The following is a 20,955-nucleotide window of genomic DNA, read 5'->3' on the forward strand; positions in this document are numbered from 1 at the left end:
CTCACAGGCAATTCTGATTTACAGCCAAACATGAGAACAACAGATATATAATGTGATGCTACTGTTAAATCTGCTAACCTCTCTTTCTACTGCCTTCCACAGCACAAGTTAATTTAATGAATTACCTGATGTCTTACATTGAACAATCATACCAAAGACCACATATAGCATTTGCAATACGGAGGCCACTGAGGGTACTTTGTAGATATTGCCTAAGAGCCAGAATAGCATTACTTCCTCTGAGAGCAATACCTGGCACGTGAAGCTTGTTGAATATTGTTGAAGGAATGAGAAAGTAGGCAGGAACTCCTATGGCTTGCACACCTACACTCTGACATTCTGTTTCTATACTGTTTGTTGTTAGGTAAGAAATATTTTTTAGGTTCCCTAAATCCAGGCTTTACTGGCTTAGAAATTTGTTGTCAGGTATGATTTTGATTGTATTGATGAGGATGCTGGCAGAAAATAAATGGCAAAGTTAAATTAGGAATTCAAGTTGAGTTTAATAAAGGCACTATTTACAAAGGTGCCAGGCAGAGTTAAAGGAAACCAACCACAGGGAAGAAACAGTGGGGGTGGCTGCCACCCTGAGGTCGAGGTAAGGGGTAAAAGCAGGGTGGGGAGATGGGTAATGTCCCTTGGAGAGGGCTGTCTCATATAAGCTGAAGCCTAGTAAAGAAATGCAATGCATTAAGCAGGCATTTATTTTCTGTATTCTGATGCATTGACAGCATGAGGCCTTGTTGACCCTCGAGAGATTCCCTCTCCCAGGGCTAGCAATTCCTGGAGTTGGCAAGCAATTCAACAGGGAGTACATCTTCTCTATGCAAACCAACCCATCCAGAGCCCAAACTCCAACCACCCCCTTTACTGGGCTTTTACACTCCAGGCCACCATCCCCCTCACATGATTACTCTAGGGCCAGGTACCAGACAACTAGGAATGGCTCCTATGCCCCAGAGCCCACTGAAATTATTCAAATGAGCCCATTCTAAACTTGCTCACCTTGCCTCTCCTGAGCCTTCCAGTGGAAACCACAATGAAAACTCTTGCCCATGTGTCCCCAGCTCTCTCTGGCTCCTCAGTGACCCTGGTGCTTTCTCATATAACTCTCCTTTATGGCCTGCCACATCTGTGGTTTCTAGGGAGCTGTGAGTATAAACACTTCTGTCACAACAATTATTTCCGTGCCTGCATGCCTTAACCACACCTGATTAAAATAAATCCCGGGTACCTGATTAGAACACACAGCCAATCCAGAGGCACGTGGCAGGAAGAAGTGGAAGAGAATAACCACTTTGCTTTCCCTCTCCACCTCCTGTTAGTGTCTCTGCAAGCCAAGCCAATCAGAAGCTAGTGGGGCAGGGAGCCCCAAGTGTAGCCCATGTACGTCAGGCTCTTGTGGCACAGAGGAGGGAGGGGAAAGGTGGCGAGTGCATCTGGAGCCATAAGAGACAAAACCCAGCGTAGCAGCAATGGACCCATGACAGCGAGAATAACATGGAAGCAGCTCTTGCTTTCTGGTCTTCCTAGTCTCAACACATTGGCTAAATGTATGAATCCAGTTTCTGGTAACATCTTTATCTTTGTCTTTGACTCACAACACAGACAAGGAGAAGAGAGCAAGCAGCATTTTTCCCCCCATGAGTTTCTTGTCAAAGCATTAAGGTTTTAGGTGGATAATATCTATAAAAGACAAGAATTACAAACCACTTTATCAAAGGAAAACCACATATGGAGTTTTCACTTGCCAATGGATATGTTCTGCTGAAAGCTCCAATTGGATGTGGTTGTCTTTTTTTGGTCTTTTATACCCAGAGACACAGGCAACAGACACTAAGAATGTAGAACCTCATTTTCCTCCTTCATGAGCGTATTGCCTTTAGAAATATCATAGACTCATTCTTGAACTTCTATCTCTTGCTCTTTGAACATAACTCTCAAGTGTTTTGATGATGGGTAGGTCCCTTCATCTCCAGCGTCTACCTCTTTCAATTTGCAGCAATAGTAGAAAGAAGTTCTGAGTGGAAGAAAGCCACAAGAAGAATAAAACGGTTTTTACACAAATGACAGAAGCTGAAATGGAATTGTCATTTCATGCGGGGACTAGATTTACCCAGGGTAATCAGAACTACTTGGGGAAAACTCAAGTCCTTTTTGGGGGGTGGGGTGGGGTGGGGTCTCACTCTGTTGCCCAGGCTGGAGTACAGTGGTATGATCATGGCTCACTGCAGCTTCAACCTCCCTGAACTCAGTGATCCTCCCACCTCAGCCTCCTGGGTAGCTGGGACCACAGGTGCACACCACCACTCCTGGCTAGTGTTTTTGTATTTTTTATGCAGATGGGGTTTTGCCATGTTGCCCAGGCTGGTCTTAAACTCCTAGTCTTAAGGAATCTGCCTGCCTCGGCCTTCCAAAGTGCTGAGATTACAGGCATGAGTCCCCGCATGAAGCCTAAGGTCCTTTAAAGATCACAGTGTGATGCAATAGTGTTTTCAAGCAAGTGGGGGCCATCACTGCAGCTAACAGTAATCTGGATCTTGACTTAGCCTCTGCATCTCAGGTGACCAACTTAATTCCTGGGCTGTGTATAGTGGCTTGGAATGCAGATACACAAAACTACAAGAAGTTTCTAATGAAGTGGTGCTTGAACTCTGCCTTACAGGCACGTGGGGAGTAGTCCATTGGCATGAAGGTGAGAACGCAGAAATAAAAAGCGGGATGGAGGCCATTTTTATGTATTTTAACTTCCAGTGCATCTTGTGCTTTAGATGACTAATGCCCTCTGTGAACTTCTGCGAGTGGAACCAAAACTGTTTAATGAATAAGTGACTTTTAGTGCTTTATTTTTACCTAGAGCTTCATTTGAAATAGATCATCATTAGCTTTATGGTTTTAATTGTATTGGAATTTCTTATTGTAACCTATTGCTTTATTGCATTAGTCCATTAACCTGGGTGCTACGGAGCATAGTTTTAGAGCCTGTATTTATATCTGGACTAATTGCATGGATGCTTCCTTATAGGGTGAGATATTTTTCAGATAATCACAGGAAAAATCATCTGAACCCCTTTCCAAACTTCAGGGTCTAGGAAATAACCAAACCAAATCCAAAAGACCCTGAAGATTATTCTGAACTTTTCTTACTTTGAAATACCTACCACTCTATCAACAAGGAATTGCAAAATAGTAATTCTCACAATATGTGTTGCTCCCACATGTTTTTCATTTGGCAGTGCTGTGGGACGCTTTGGTTGGCTGGCTCCCCAATCAAATCCAGGTGGTTAATGGTCACAAACTGGGGGACCATGAGGGGAACTGTACCTTGTTCATTAGGGCAAATGGAGATGGAGTGTCCAGGCCACTGGCTGAGGGCCTAGAATCTCAGACAAACTAAGAATGACCAAGGCCCAGCTCTCTCTTCCTTTGCTAATAACCTGGAAGGTGGCACAGCTGTTAACACCAAGTTGACCCAAAGCATTTCTTCCCAGGGTGGGAAAGTGACTGATGGAGACTCCAGCATGTTCAGATCACACAGGGTGTTTTTTACTTCTCCTGGAGGAAGAAACACTGAAGTTAGAATTGGGCCCTTTGTAACCTCGCATATGCTCAACAGCAGGAGTGTTTATAATGCCCATCAACCAGGCTTTCCGCTGCACCTGTTGGTGGACCAGCTGCAGAAAGCAGGTGTATCTGGGGACAGAGAGGACGGGTGACTGTGGAGAATGCTGAGGGCTGCCAGATGTGGTCCACATAAACACTGGGCCAACAGCTGGGAGACAGGAAAGATGTGGATTTAATTAAAAATGACGTGCAAATTTGATTATTAATTTCAAGCCACTGTGTGAATGTAACATACATACATACATACATATATACACATATATAATATGTATTTCAAATGACTGAATAGAATGTGTTAATGGAAGCATGAGTTTCACTTTTCACTAATTCCATGCACTTTATATTTTGTTCATTGGTCCACATGATTGTTCATCATATTTCCATGTCCATTAAAAAAACTTTCCCAGGCAGGAAGCTAAAATTCTAGTTTAATTGGAAATGCCTTGCAATCCCAGGAATACAACCTTGTCAACTGAAACAGATAAACTGAATCAGGTGACCTCTGACACTTGCATTTATAACTGGACTAACATGAATACATTCATTGTAGCATGGGAGACTTTGACCACAACTGTGTGCTGTGGACTCTTATGAGATTGAGCTAACTCCTTAGTTTTCATTTGCCATCTTCACCAGAGCTGAGACATAGCAGTGCCTCATGAGAAGGGTGGAACTCACGGGGCTATTGACACGGCCTTGCTAGACTCCGTAGATGGCCCATAGGATATGTAGGAAGCCTGGGGAGAATTTGCTGTGGTTGGCTTTGGAAGACCAGGTGTGTTGTAGGTCTTACCAGTGATGAGTCTGGAGGCATGAGGCATCCATCATTCATTACTTAAAAGAGCTGAGAGTGAGGATAATCTCTACCTTGGAAACAACACCTGATTGGACAGTGTTCCGTGGTATTTAAACTTAAAACTGGTACTGGCCAAGGAAGACAGTCAAAACGTTTTGGCATCAGAGAGGAGGGCAAAATCAGAGGTCTGAAACATACTGTCTCTTGAGGTTTTCAGGGGGTTCTCCCTCCTACCTTAATGTGTCACATTCTCCATATTCTTTTAGGACATTGGTTCTCATCTGAGCGCCCCTTGAAACTGTAGGCAAAATGTTGTGTACACACACACACACACACACACACGTATATATATATATCTACACACACACATTGAATTGCACATTTTTCTCAATGGTGGTTAGTACGTAATTTTCTTTGGATTCTCAAAGTTCTCAAAAGCTTAAGACCTAAGGAGAGCAGTGTTTCTTTTTTTTTATTTATTATACTTTAAGTTCTGGGATACATGTGCAGAATGTACAGGTTTGTTACATATGTATACATGTGCCTATGTGTATACTATGTGTATTGTTGCTGCACCCATCAACCCATCATCTACATTAGATATTTCTCCTAATGCTATCCCTCCCCCAGCCCCCCAGCCCCTGACAGGCCCTGTTGTGTGATGTTCCCCTCCCTGTGCCCATATGTTCTCATTGTTCAACTCCCACTTATGAATGAGAACATGCAGTGTTTGGTTTTCTGTTCCTGTGTTACTTTGCTGAGAATGATGGTTTCCAGCTTCATCCATGTCCCTGCAAAGGACGTGAACTTATCCTTTTTTATGACTGCATAGTATTCCATGGTGTATATGTACCACATTTTCTTTAGTCTATCATTGATGGGCATTTGGGTTGGTTCCAAGTCTTTGCTGTTGTGAACAGTGCTGCAATAAACGTATGTGTGCATGTGTCTTTCTAGTAGAATGATTTATAATCCTTTGGGTATATACCCAGTAATGGGATTGCTGGGTCAAATGGTATTTCTAGTTCTAGATCTTTGAGGAATCGCCACTCTGTCTTCCACAATGGTTGAACTAATTTACACTCCCGCCAACGGTGTAAAAGCATTCCTATTTCTCCACATCCTAGGAGAGTGGTGTTTCTAAGGAGAGCAACTTATTTCTCTTGAGGAAATGTCTTCATGGCAAGAAATAATGATAACAGCAGTAACAACAATAGTAAGTTAATACTTATGGCATTCATGATGTTCCAGGCATCATCTGAGCACTTTACAGATGTTAGCTTGTTTAATAAGGCATCTGTAGTTGTCAAAAAGAAAACAGAGTATTGTGCCATACTTTATAACTACTCTTCCTTGAAGGAATTCCATTTCTCTAGCATGATTCCAATGCCTTCTCTGCTCTGATTTTGAATGTCAACCCTTTTCAATGTTTATTTACCCAATGTATTAGTTTTCTATGCAGCATAAAACATTACCATGAATTTAGTGGCTTGAAAAAACACCCCTTTATTATGTCACAGTTTCTGCGGGCTGGGAGTGCAGGCAAGGCTTATCTGGGTTTTGTGTTAGGGGCTCACCAGACGTTAATACAGGTGTTGGCTGGGGCCATGGTCTCATCCAAGGTTTTGTTGGGGAAATAACTGCTTACGTGCTCCATTTAAGATTGTGGGCAGAATTCATCTTCTTTTCTTGTTGTGGGCAGAATTCATCTTCTTTTCTTCTTTTCTGTTGCCTGGAGGCAGTTCCTTGTGCTACAGCCCTTTTATAACATGGCAGCTTACTTCTTCAAAGCCAGCAAAGGAACCTCTGTCTCCTGTCTGATAATCATAGGCATCAGATGATCATAGGCATATAGGATGATCATAGGTATAATAGCCTATGATAGCCTATCATAGGCATAATAGCCTATGATAGCCTATCATAGGCATAATAGCCTAAGGCATAGGCTTATAGGATGATCATAGGCATAATAGCCTGAGACTTATAATGTAACCTAATAAAGGGAGTGACATCCTGTCACCTGTAGCATATTCTGTGGATCAGAAACAAGTCACAGGTTCCACTCAAACACAAGGAGAGAGAATTTTGCGGGGGTGTGACTCATTGGAGGTCACCTTGGGTGTGTTGCCCACTATTGAGTGCACACTATATGCTCAAAAACTGTTGATTGGGTGCCCACTATGTGCCAGCATAGCTTTAGTTGCTTGCTTGAAATATACATCAGGGAGCATCATTTTCCTTTTTCACTTTTCCTTCTAGTCCAGAGGGAGCATTATCTGCTTCCCAGATGTGCTGTGTCCACCTGCATTGCTGAGTCTTTGCTTCCAGCTGTGCTCCCAGCTTGGGGTGCCCTTCTATGTCCTCTTTCTCAGTTATAATCCTTGTCAGACTAAAAGGCTCAGCTCAATTTCTGTGGCTTTCCCGAAACCTTTCCTGATCCCTAAATCATTGTGGGTGGCATGGGAGCACTTGGTTGTACCTCTCTTGTAGCAAGCATTTAATTCTGAGTTGTATTGTAGTTACTTGTGTAAATATCTATTTACTTCAACAAAGGGATCATGTTCTACACGTTGTTGTCAATTTTTTGGCCTCATTTTCACATGGGAAGTACTAAATAAATGTTTGTTGAATGAACTTCCCCCAGACAGTTGACCCTACTTTTAATTTTTTTCCTTTTTCCAGGAATAAAAATAATCAACAATCCATCTTTAGCATAGGTTTGAGTTTCTGTCTGTAAAATGGGGACAGAAAGGTTGCCTCTAGCTCTTTTCTTTTCTCTTCCCGTTAGCCCCAGTGAACTATAGCAATGGCCCCTGCAGGGCCCACCTAGGACCTGTTAGCTTAGCTTGAAAAGATCCAAAGGTGAAGGCTATGGAACCTCCCAATTTCGCAGTGTTCTAGTTCTTAGTGAGGTCTTATGCCCCTCTTGCCCTGCATTTCCTTCCTGTCATTTTGATGCCTATAGCAGAACTTACTGCTGAACAATCAGTGCTGGTCCTGCTGAAAACGCATCGAGACTGGGTGGCAGACTGGCTTTCCAGCCACTGAAACGAGTTTCTGGTGGGGCCTGTCATCCCAGCAGCAGTTTAGGTGCTTTTGCTCAATGTGAAGTTGCATTTTATTTTCCCTAATTACTGACTGGATGTTAGAAATGGTTTGGCATTCAATTCTTTAGCTCCGTGTAAGGCAATAAACCGCTTCATCATACAATCCATTTAATTAATTACCTTTCATTTTGCGGGTGCTGTTAGTATGACGTCGATAAAATATAATCCAAATGTTTTCTGATGCAGTGTTGCCTTTCTGTCTCCTTACCCTGGGGCTTATTACCTCCTGGAGCAAGATTTAAAAAAAATTAAAAAGCAGAGGAAAGGGAAATTCAGGTAAAGCAGCAAGAAATATTCCTGACATTGGACTCTGCAAAGGCAAAGGGTCTAGCATTGATTTCTTACATTTAATATGATACTAAAGTGAACCAGATATTGCAAAGCTGGAAAAGAAAATAATCTGCGTTGGCAGAATGGTCCTTTATGGATAATGTGGATGTGATGTAGTTACTGTCCACTGCAGGCAGGATTACTGGCTGTCCTTGCAGTTGCTTTCGCTCTCCACCTTCCCCAGGTCATCCATGTCCCTTTCTGAATCTCCCACAAATGAAAGAAACACATATCAAAACAGCTGTTCCTATAAGGCAACATCAGGAAGACTTGGGATTTGCAGTTCATCCAGTGAATAATTCTTTATTGAGGTGGCTCTACAGAGACGGGCCATGCTCCAAGAGAGCCGAAGAAAGAACTGGTCCATATCTGAGCTTGACTCTTTGGCCATTCAAAAGGGTGTCTAGGGATGGGAAAGGCCGATGGGTCATTTGGAAAGCTCTCGGCATAAGTGGGACCATGAACAAGTTCCAAGCTGGGTCTGTGGTAAACCATTTGTTCAATATTAAGAGAGTGATGATGGAAGACCAAAGGAACATGTAGTCTGTGAAGTTAAGGACTGTTCAGTGTCAGGGAACAGATGATGATGGAGATTTCCTCTAGATATCTTGCTTGCATGTCCCTGCGACACATTAATTTTTTCTTCTTTTTTGAGACAGGGTCTTGCTCTATTGCTCAGGCTAGAGTGCAGTGGCATGATCATGACTCACTGCAGCCCTGACCTGCTGGGTTCAAGTGATCCTCCTCCCTCAGCATCCTGAGTAGCTGGGACTATAGGCATTTGCCACCACATCTGGCTAATTAAAAATTTTTTTTTTTGTAGAGATGGGGTCTTACCATGTTGTACAGGCTGGTCTCGTAACTGCTGGGCTCAAGCAGTCCTCTCATCTTGGCCTCCCGAAGTGTTGGGATTACAGGTGTGAGCCACTGCCCTCAGCCATGACACAATTTTTAAAAGCTCCTGGGGCTGATCCAGGGATAACAGTAACATGGGTTTAGTGGGGGAGAAGGGAATAACCTTGACTTTAAGGAATCATCATGAGTTTTCATAGTTAATTCTCATTTAAAGAATTTCCCAAGGTCTCTCTGTGTGTGTTTTTGTTAGAATACCCAGTTAAATAGGGAGAGTCTTAGTATTTGAATAGACTGAGACAAACAGCTGCTTTCTGACATTTGTGTGTGTGGGTCTCATCACTCTCCCATCAACCTCCAAATATTTATAGAACATTCAGTACACACAGGGGCGAGGTGGACCTCCTTTCCTAGAATGACCACTCCATCTTTTCTGACCCTAGATAGCAAGATCACCCCATCTCCACCTCTGAAGTAAAGGCTATAGTAACTTGCAAACGACTAGAATGTCTCAGCACCCCTGAGTTATGGTTCACAATGGGGATATTAATAGTTTTGGAGATTAAATGAAGTAATAGATATTAAGCCCTTAGTTATTTTTATTAAAGTTATTATTTTTATCATTATTGGTAATGGGCCAACTGCCTACTTGGAGCTGACCTTAACCATGTATCTTTCACACCTTCTCTCTTGCCTTCCTGTAGAGCAAGGCTCATTTTTTCTAGTGTAATCATGAATGATATAATATTTTTTCTGTTTAACTATTTCTTTAATATTTTTCAAAATATAAATAACTTTTTTTGCACTATATTTGAATATTAAAATGATTTGACCCAAAAGTTTGAGGTTGAGTATGTATTTATGTCCTAATGGTTAGAAGAGAATATAATCCTGAAAATAAATAAGGCTGGTAGTCGTAGGGAGTGGTTCTCTGGGGGTGATTGCCCCTGTAAACCCCACCTCCCAGGGGGCACTTGGCAATGTCTGGGACATTTTTTTGATTGTCATAACCAGGGGGAGGGTGCTACTGGCATCTAGCAAGTAGAGTCTATGGATGCTTCTAAACACTCTACAATGCACAGGAGAGCCCCGATTCATTTTTAAACACAAGGATGTCTTTAATGATTGCTGCCATAACAAATTACCACACACTTAGTGGCTTACAACAAAACAGGTTTGTTATCTTCTACTTCTATTGGTCAGAAGTCTGACATGGGGCTCACCAGGCTAAAATCAAGGTGTCAGCAAGACTCCCTTTTTTTGGAGGCTCTAGGGGAGGATTCATTCCCTTGCCATTTCCAGCTTCTAGAGACTGCCCGCGTTCCTTGCCTTGGGGCCCCCGCCCCCATATTCAAAACCAGCAATCCTGAGTCCAGTCCCTTTCGTGCTTCAAATCTCTCCTGCCTCTTCCATGATCACATTTCTCTGACCATCTGTTATGCCTCCTTCTTGCATGTCTAAGGGCCACTGTGATTACATTGGGCCAACCCAGGTAATCCAGGATAACTTCCCTATTTTAAGGATTAGCCTCCTTAGTTCCATCTGCAAACTTGAATTTCTTTCGCCATGTGATGTGACATTCACAGATTCCAGGGACAAATTTGTGGGGGCTACTATTCTGTCTAAACAGCCCAAGATAAAAAAATCATTCAGCCCCAAATACCAAGAGTGCCGAGGTTGAGAAACCCTGTCTTAAGAGAAAGCTTTCTAGTCCTTAGAGAAAGCTGGGTCCTTTATTCAATGTGGATAAAAGAAAAAAGCTACCTTTAAACTGACTCACTTTTGAAGTGTTAACATCACAGCACATTTAATAATTTGGACAATTTGCATTAAAAGCCACTGCTGGCCAAGATATGATGATAACTTAGTCTACACAGTGAGGAAGTGAAAAATCTCCTATTAAATAAATGAAGCAGCAGCTTCTGGTAACAAACATATAACAAACAAACATATGAAACAGAATATTCATCTTTTCTTCAATGGGAATAACACATGACAAAAGTGAGGCTTTCTTCACATTGTTTGTTTATAGAAAATTCATCTCCACCGAGGCCTTATGTTAAATTTGCTCTCTGATGTTAGCATTTCCAGGATGCACAGGGCCACTGGAGTATGTTCTTATGATCTTACCATTTATTTACCTTGATACAAAACTCCAATTACTGTCAGAGATGCTTCTTGTTAAATATGGTAAGATCTCCAGCTTCTGAGAGTGTGAATATGTATTTGATTCTCTGGGGCCAGGCTCAGATGGAAGTTAAGGAATGAGTTCTGGGGACGTGGGTGCAAATTAATTAAATATCTGAAGATAACCATGGAGGAAGCTTGGGCTTTAGAGAAAAGGCTGAAACTCAGGGAGAGAAGATTGTATATCAAGAGACTGTGAGGTTGGTTTTTTTCTTCCACTGACGCTTTCTTTCCTGGTCTTGCATGGTGTGTGTGTGTGTTTGTGTGTGTGTGTGTGCGCACACATGCGCGTGCATGTGCTGGTGTCTGTGTGCATGCTCATGCACACATGCTTGCTCATTTACTCTAAGTGTTACTGTGCTTTTGTGTTGCTTTCTTGTATCTTTCAATGCCTAAAGCAACTCTTGGATTATCCAAAATCGGGAATCAGAATATAACATATAATTTCCAAAGACATCAGGGGAGACTGTTCTCCAGATAAAATGTTAGAATTCTCCTGATATATTCAAACTGTCATATTTAGTTACTGGCTTTCTTTGGCAATCCAACTCTATTTTATTCATGGGCTATTCTAAAAATGTAATCAAAGGACACCTACTGGCTACAAGCAACTTTGCTCATGTCTAGTAGGGCTGTGAAGAATGGTTTGAATTTAGTGCAGATGCAGGAAAATATGTGCTGTCATCAAGAGCCTATCACACTTTCAACTTATAAAATATCTTGACTGGAGTCTGGCCAGAGTGAGTATGGGGTGGAGGCTTTAGTGAGGATGAATGTATTGGGTCAGATAAAGTAAGGACCGAAGCGAGTCTTAAGTAGACTATAAATTGAACAGAATGGGATACTATTATTTTTGGCTCAATAAGTAGAAAAATGGTACTATGCTTATCTTTTCTTCCATTTTTTGACTTGCATTTAGTCTCTATTTTAGGGTTATATATATTTTTTATTTCTGGCAGCCACAGAGACCTGCTTTGGGGAAGCACTGGAGTTCTGTGGTTCTGAATGTGAAAAAGAAATGATGCATCATTGTTGTTGCCATGCTGGGGAATTTTCTGGGGAAACATTTCCATTCCTTCATAGAAATCTGTTCTGTGCTTAGGCCTAGGAGAATGATCGTTTCCTAGGTATAAAGCACATGCCTGCAGCAGCTCAGTTATACTTTATAACCCCATAGCATATAAACAATTTGATTTGGAAAGCCAGTTAAGTTCTTCCTTTGCATTCCATCTTATCGGCGGCATCAGTTGTTTTGCTATCCTCCTCTGGTATGGAGAAGATAAAAGCAATGCATTTTTAGTTATAGGGATAATATGTTTTCAGCCTTATCTGAAGAAACGACCTTTTGCTTGATTGTTATTAGCACACAGGGGTTGTAATACGTCAAAACCCCAAAGACATACCAAGACTCAAATGCAAAGTGATAGGGAAGATTTCAAAAACCAGCAGAACCACGGCATGGTGTAGGTAGTTTCAAATCGAAGCATGCATCGGACTCTCCTAGCATGCTTGTTAAAGCACAGATTGCGGGACCTCATCCCCAGAGTTTCCGATTCAGTAGATCTAGGGTGTGGCCCTAGAATGTGCATTTCTAACAAGTTCTCAGGGAATGCTGCTGCTGCTGGCCCAGGACTGCGCTTTGAGAACCAGTGGCATAGTTGGTACACATAGGCTTAATGATTTTGCATCTGGCTTCCACCATTTCCAGCTGTTTAACCTTTGGCAAGTTCCTTAATCCCTTGCTGCTTAATTCCTTGGACCAATATTACCTGGGACCTTGAAGTCCTGGGTTGGTGTCCCATTCATACCTACTGAATCAAAATTTGCATTTTCTTTTTTTAGACAGAGTCTCGCTCTGTCCCTGAGGCTGGAGTGCAGTGGCACGATCTCTGCTCACTGCAACCTCCATCTCCCAGGTTCAAGAGATTCTCATGCCTCAGCCTCCTGAATAGCTGGGATTACAGGCGTGTGCTACCACCTGGCTAATTTTTGTAATTTTAGTAGAGATGGGGTTTCATCATGTTGGCCAGGTTGGTCTGAACTCCTAACTCAAGCAATCTGCTGGCCTAGGCCTCCAAAAGTGCTGGGATTACAGGTGTGAGCCACTATGCCCGACTTCAAAATTTGCATTTTATCAAGATCCTCAGATCATTCATTTACACATTACATTTGATAAGCACGACTTAGTTTCACTTCTTATTTTTATTTTCTGTAAAATGGGAACAATACTTATTTCTTCCCAGGGTGTTGTCAAGTGAAATGCATGTCAAGGGCTTAGCAGTAGTGCCTGGCACAAAACGTGCCCTCAATGAATGTTACCACTTAAAATTATTAAGCTGATTTGGGATGGAAGAGCCAGCAAGTTCTCTCCTATAGTAATGTGTTTGTTAAAGGTAAAATGTGTGTGTTTCTACTTTATTTTCACTTTCTTCCTCCCCCTTTTGCCCTTAAGCTCATCTTTTATGGGTTTCTAGTTTCTTCGGGCCCACAAATGTTGAGTGACTGTTTTGGGTTTGAGGGCAATAGGTTTCCTATTTTACCCACTTTATCATATAAGCCTTCTACTAAAGCATCTTCAATTATCTTGAGGCAGTGTGGGGAAATTCTGAAAGCAAAATTAGTAATAAATTGAAAGATGTGTCTCAGTCTGTTGTGCTCCCATAAAGGAATGCCCGAGGCTGGGTAATTTATAAAGAAAAAAGGTTGATTTGACTCACAATTCTGCTGGCTGGAAGGTTCAAGATTGGGCATCTGGTGAGGCCCTCAGGCTGCTTCCACTCCTGCAGGAAGACAAAGGGGAGCCTGTGTGTGCAGAGACCACAGGGAAAGAGAGGAAGCAGGCAGGGGCCAGTGGCAGGCTCTCTCAACAACCAGTTCTCATGGAAGCGGTGAGTGATAACTCACTCACTCCTGAGAGAAGGGCACTGCAACATTCATGGGGAATCCACCCCCAGTCCCAAACACCTCCTACCAGGCTCCACCTCCAACACTGAGATCGGATTTCACCATGAGACTTGGTGGAGCCAAACAAACCCTATTCAAACCATAGCAGCACATCTGTCCAGCACTTTGGAAAGCACTATGGGAGAAGGTCTTAAAGCCAGGCAGACTTCAATAGGGTGTAGACACCAAAAAAAGTTGGGAATTGCCATTAGACTCTCTCCCCTTCCCCTTTCCCATTCTTTCCCATTCAATTCTAAAATTGTTTTCAGAATTATGTTAAATTATTTTGCCCAACTATGACCTAGAAAAGATTGATGTGCCTTAAGAAGTTTTCTTTGCGATGAAGCATTTCAAGGTTTCTTGGGGAGGCTCAGTACTCTAACTTCTGAAGACCTGGTCTGGCTCAGGGTGGGCCTCCGAATCCTCTTTGTTTGCTCCTGGGATCTGGCTCTAAACAGCAGATGCTCTAGCTTAGAGTGAAGGGTGTCACCTCTGGCACTGTAATTAGTGGGCCTGGTGTCTGGTCTGGGACTAACATACCTTGGGCAGATTCCTCATCTATGCTGAATCCCAGTTTCCTCATCTTTAAAGGGGAATCCTCATATTTTTCCTACCTCTATTCCAAGGTTGTAGTAAATACAATATGGAGAGATGCCTTGAATATCAGCAACATTGTTTTATCATTGTCAGTTTTATCATTGTCCGTTGGGCAGACCCCTGGGATACAAGAGTAGAGCTGGCTTCAGAGAACATTGGAGTGTACTGGTGTCAGAGGTCTGCTCCCTAAACTCAGATTGGTGAGGTTTTATTGAGAATGGTTGTGAAAACATTGGCTCATAAAGGCTGGGAGTACACACACGAAGAAGGTCTGGGCTGTTTCCAATTTCTGCAGTTTGGGGACTGGCAACCTCCTTTCAATGTCCAGCAGGTGAGACACTGCTGAGAGAAGCCTGAGGAAGTGACAGCTGCAGCTGACATTGCAGAGAGCAGAAGCCAACTTTTTCACTGGATGAGCAAGCCACTTTGTCCTCAGTTTCCCTTTGATGGAACCTCTGCCACCTGCCAAGCCCTGTCTGTTTCCTGAATGCCATAGCAGGTTGTCCCATAGGGAGGGCAGGTTGTAAAGGGTTAAAGAAGATGCCATGACTTGAATTAACAAGTCTATGGCTAGGGGTTCAGTTAAGACCACCTCTTGTTTGACCACCAACCAACGTTCCCTGCTTCAGCTTTGGCTCCTTAAAGGATGTGAGGGATCAAACTAGGAAGCTTTTATATGCCCATTTAGATTAACAAACAAACAAACACATGATATTTGACTGCTAGTAAGCCTTTCCTCTTAGGGAGAAATTACAGTTGTTGACTCTATCACATACCCTCCATGCCTGATTCCTGGCTTCTTATGAAAATTCCCATCCTTGATTTTCCCCCCTTGGGCTAGCCCACCTTCTTGGATAAGAACAGGTTTTCTTCTTTCTTGCATATTATCCTTGTTCCTGACTCTCCCTTGCTGTGTTGCTGATTCAGATTTCCAGTATTGACTCCAACCTTCCCATCTGTGATCTCATCATTCTAACCTCTTGTGCTACAGATGCTGGAAAACAAAAAGCTACTTGAAAAAACTCCCTTAGAGTTCAGTTTCTGTGTACTATGTTGGTCCTACCTATGTACAAGACTAGGTTTCAGAGCTGAGCAGGATGGAGTGAGAGGCAGAGTATGAGGCATTCACTTTTTGGTGTAAATCAGGGGTACCATGTTCTACACTCACACCTTCCTGCTGGCTGCAGTGGTGATATTTTCCTCCATTGTGGCAGGACATTGGGAATTATTCCTGGAAGCTCTGCATGGGTGTTTGAAGCTACCTAATGCCTAGTAATGAATCACTTTGTGCTGAAATTAGCTAGAGTGGTTTCTGTTGGCTGAGGCTGAATCTAACTGATATACTGACTGGATACTTGCCATTTTCCCCAATATAATTCACCAGCTTTCACACCTGTATTCTTGGGCCAGCGAGCCAATCTTACCACTAGAACCACAGCACCTGTTATTTTGGTCTGACAGGGGTCTTCCCCCCTTACTTCCAGGTACATTTCCTGGCATGAACTTTGCTGCTACCACTGCCAATCAAGCCATGTCCTGGGGCTTGAACCATCAAAAAGTGGTACTGAACAGAAGTTGCTTAAATTCAGGATGTGAACGGATGAGTTATCTGTGAGTTTACTTAGTTTCCTGGCCTAATCCTGTTCTGATGTTTCAAATGCATTGGTGTGGTGGAAGCTGATCAGAAATTCTCCACCTTTCTTTCTTATTAGATATCCCAAACTTTCAAGACATCTGCAATTATTTACTCATTCATTTATCATATTTTAAAAACATTATCTTTTTAAACAAATGAGAAGGGCACTATGTTAGTCTGTTCTCACGCTGCTAATAAAGACATACTGAGACTGTGTAATTTATGAAGAAAAGAGGTTTAATTGACTCACAGTTCCACGTGGTTGGGGAGGCCTCATAATCATGGCAGAAAGAGAATGAGGAGGAAAGTCACATCTTACATGGTGGCAAGTAAGAGAGCTTGTGTAGGGGAACTCCCATTTATAAAACCATCAGATCTTATGAGACTTATTCACTACCACAAGAACAGTATGCAGGAAACTGCCCCCATGGTTCAATTATCTCCACCTGGCCCCACCCTTGACATGTGGGGATTATTACAATTCAAGGTGAGATTTGGGTGGGGACACAGCCAAACCATATCAGGCACTTTTCATTTCAAAAATGGCTGCATATGCAATTTTCTAGGTATATTAAATAGTATCCCCAAGAGAATCTTTTCTGAAGAATGGAACATATGTGTACAGGAGTAAATAAAGTAAAATTTGAGGAATCAGGCATATCAAGGAACATCCAGAGTCACACTGAAGACTCTGACTTGAACTTTGGAGTTGTGGATTTTTCAGGTGAGCTCTGTTCCACTGGTGCAAACAAAAAATCTCAAAAAAGTTCAGAGCCTGTCCATCAAAGCCTGTTGGAAGAGGGTGCCTGGTGATATGTTTTGATTAGAGAGGGGTTCTACATACGCAAAACACACACACACACACGTGCACATACACACTTGAGTTGTTCCTTTCAAGGGCACAATTAATCTTTGCCTTTCATCACAATCCATTCCTGGAAATTGTGTTGTAAAGCAGTCACATTTTCCCATAAGAACAATATAATAATTGGGCATTGCAATCCTGACCAAAGACTTGCCATTAAATAAACCATAGATGTGGTAAAAATATGTCGTAAAAGCAAAGATGTGACAGCTGTAAACCTTTGTAATAATTTTAGAGAATAAAATTAAGCTCTGTCATATAAATGGGCTCAAATATACTATACACATTGATTATATAAGAAATTTCGATGAACTATAAAGTCTATATAACATAAAAAGTACAAATCTAGTGCATCATAAATTTGACCTAAAACTATTATTCTAGCTATAATAAACATTAAACATTTAATTAAGAATCATTTTTCTTTCCTTCTTGGAAGTGAGGAAGACATTTACTACTGTATGATTCAAATGGCCTAGGTTTCTCAACAAGAGCCAACCATATGCCTTCTTATCTCAGTGAACTTCCCTTAACAAGTAGAGACATTACAGAAAGCCTCCCAATGACCTTTACACCATAGCCCATGGAAACATTTATTGCCACTAGACAGCAGGTTTCAAACTACTGAATGGGGGAAATGTGGGTGTTATAAAGGATGGTATAGTTTTGTTCTAAGGAGTACTGAATGAATGGATAGTTACATTGGAAAAAGTGAGGTCTGAGGGCTGCATTGGTATAGTTTTGAGACTTGAGCTTGCTATAAACTCTAGAGTTTTCCGTTAACAACACATTTCATGTTTATTCAATGCTTTAGTGCTTAATGACTTAGAAAGAACATCTACACCTTCAGTAGCCATATGGTGCTCTTCAGCTTCTCTTTAGAAGAGCAAGTTCAAGAGATGTCAACAGCTCTGCCACTATTTTCTTAATAAAGCAAAATTGAAAAATCACTAAAAATAACACATTAGCTCATTTCTGTTAAATATAACCTTTGAGTATGTGTTGTAATGCCGTGCTTTCTGGTTCATAGCTTCTAGTACCTGGAATAGTGCCTGGCTTGTGATTGGTGCTCAATAGATATTTGTTGAAACAAAGAAAAAAAGACAGAAAGAGAAAGAGAGAGAGAGGGAATGAGGAATAAAAAATTTCTCAAATATGAGCTTTAACTACTACAGGGCTCCCAGGACAAACCTTAGAGTATGCTTACAGAGAGGATGCCTTGAGGAAGTCAGAAAAACTGGACTCCCAGGAGTGGTTCAGGGTGGTCCAACCAGCAGAAGAATAACCAGCCAATTCAAATTCAAATTCAGCAAGGTGAATATACAGGAAATCAGTTGAGTAGAATCCAGGGTCAGGCAGTTTAAGAACCAATATGATTCAAGAAATTAGGTGAGATATACATCATCTGCCCCGTCTTTCTCATTTAGTCTCCCCAGATCTTCTTGTCCAATCCACTTCTTCTCATCCACTTCAACTTGCACCTATAATCCAATAATCCTTAAACCCATCTTTCGAGCCCAACATCTCATCTCAGCCCTAGAGCCTTATATATGAATATCTACTGGATATATCTGTTTGACTCTCCTGAAGATACCTCAAATTCACCTTATTCAGTACTAAATTTGTTTTATCTTTTCTCACTCCAAATATGAATATCTTTCTACTTTTACTTTCTTGGTGACAGGCTAAAACCTTCCTTCATCGGACTTTCTTGAGTTAAAGAGGGGTGTGTCTGAACAAGTTTGAATTCTTTTCACTGCTGTCATCCTGTCTTAGTTTTCAGGTGAAAGGCACTCAGTATCCAGGGTCTTGGCTAGCAGGTTCTGTTGTGTTGATCTGTGTGCTGGAAACAATTTCTTCAGAGCTGTACATATTGGGAATCATACCATTTTGGAAAAAGCCTCTTGCAATGTGTATCAATGTTGCTTTCAACACATTTTAAGAATAGACTTATGGTATTAAAATGGATTAACTCTGGGGAGAGTGGCTGAAGGAAGATTTAGGAAAAGCCTGGGACGGAGGCGTTTCCTGCGATACAGAATGTTCAGTGTTAAAACCAGGACAGGCTTGGGCAAGCTGGGGTGGCTGGTCATCCTATGAAGGAATGTTTTCCTTACTTTAAGAATAGGAAGACAGTCAATAAAAGTGATGTGTAGAAAATCGTTGGTTGATATAAAGTCTTTTTGGCCATATCAACACATAAGAATGACAAAACTATTTTTATATTAACTTGTTTAGATAATGAGACTCAATAGATTTGTAATGCTGTACCATTTAATAGAATTTTCACTGATAGAAGATATAGATTTGTGATAGTATTTACTGTTGAATTAATGAGCTGCTTGCCTATATCCAGATAATTAATACAGAGAATAAAAAGGAATATTTGAAAATATTAACATTCCAAAAATATATTCAGGCAAATATTCCATTCACTACAATGGGCATTTTGAATTACTTAAAAATAGTTGGCTTTTATGGTCAATTGGCTATAGCTATGTTACTGGTAATAAACCATAAATCTTAATGCATCACCTTTTGAGACCAACAGGGATGATATTTTAAGGTAAAGAGAATATGGAAGAATTTATACAGCATGCCAATTTCATTGTAATTCTTATTAATAAATTAGCAAGGAAGAGGTAGCAAAACGATGAATTGCTGGAATTCATTAATTTGAGAATAACTCTCTTTGTGCTTGAGCCAATTATTTCTAAGATAGAGTGCTTGGAGGAGGCAGTAATATCCAGAGCTAAGATATCATAAAAATGGGGGAGAAATCACTAGTGGGATATCATAGCAGTGACTGTTGTCTAGGAATTATAATCCTAGTTAAAGGCTAACTGAAAATGAACTTGACCAATTTCCCAGAAAGCTCACTTTGTATTTTAGTGGTTAAGTGTGAAGATTGCCTGGGTTCTCATTATTTGTGAAACCTTGTGCATTTTAGCTGTACTCTTCAAGCCTTGATTCTTCCATCTGTAAAATTAGAGTAGTTACCTCTTGAGCTGTTGGGTTGAGACAATGAATATAAAATTGTTAACAGAGTGCCTGAAAGAGTGTTAGTTGATTTTATTTCGCATTATACATTATTATATATTAAGTATAATACAATGTATAACATAACTGTTATGTAATATATTTATAATGTATTTGAGCTGCTATAACAGAATACTATAGACAGGGTGGCTTAAACAACAGGCATTTATTTCTCCAGTTCTGGAGGCTTGGAAGTCCAAGATCAAGGTGCCAGCAGTTTTGGTTCTTGGTGAAGGCTCTCTTCCTGGCTGTATTCTCACATAGCAGAAAGAGAGAAGGCTCTGGTGTCTCTTTCTCTTTCTATAAGGGCATAATCCTACCATGGGGCCCCTACCTTCATGATCTCATCTAAATCTACCTCCCAAGGTCCCCATATCCTAATATTATCACACTGGGGATTAGGGCTTCAACATGAATTTTAGAAGGGATAAAAATTAGTCCTGGTTGTATGAAATATATTTACATAACAAAAAATAACAAAACTAATTTATGTTCGTTATTATTATTAAATAAATTTTGGGATTATCAGTGCTGAGATCTGCAATTGAATGAAATGACATCTTGTGTTACATTAGGATAGTTGGCAATGTCTTCTTTTTTTTAAACCGTTATTTTTCCTTTACTTTAAGCATGCCCTGAATTTGGTGGTTTGAAGGATCACACATTACCAAAAATGGGTTAAATGTATACGTAGTGATTAGAAAGACAAAACTTAGACAAACATCTTTTGGGGGAAAATAAAATCTCATAGTAAATGCATTCATTGAGTTCTGGACAGTAAGCCTTGTGAAAGTTTACCGTTCCTTAGCTTAAAAGATTTTATGTCGTCTTTGAGAGCTATCAAATGGGAAACTCTGGGGTAGCCTTGCACTGTGTTTGAAAATGCAAGATCTTTGCAATTTGCATCCTCTTGGTGAAATGTCAGCAGTTCTTCAAAAGATTTAATGACAGGAATAAATTAAAGAGACCTCATTTCAAA

At 41.1% G+C, this 20,955-nt stretch overlaps 2 annotated features.

The window, feature by feature from the left end:
- Positions 9,602-9,870: a silencer, noted in NCBI's record as "fragment chr2:66001201-66001469 (GRCh37/hg19 assembly coordinates)". NCBI's record gives its function as "represses an EF-1alpha promoter that drives an FKBP-Casp9 reporter gene in an ReSE screen in HepG2 liver carcinoma cells {active_cell/tissue: HepG2}" and the evidence as "EXISTENCE:reporter gene assay evidence [ECO:0000049][PMID:32094911]".
- Positions 13,776-13,976: a silencer, noted in NCBI's record as "peak3734 fragment used in MPRA reporter construct". NCBI's record gives its function as "represses an SCP1 promoter by STARR-seq MPRAs in K562 erythroleukemia cells {active_cell/tissue: K562}" and the evidence as "EXISTENCE:reporter gene assay evidence [ECO:0000049][PMID:32103011]".

This window comes from Homo sapiens, chromosome 2 (genome assembly GCF_000001405.40).
Source record: "Homo sapiens chromosome 2, GRCh38.p14 Primary Assembly".
Lineage (NCBI taxonomy): Eukaryota > Metazoa > Chordata > Mammalia > Primates > Hominidae > Homo > Homo sapiens.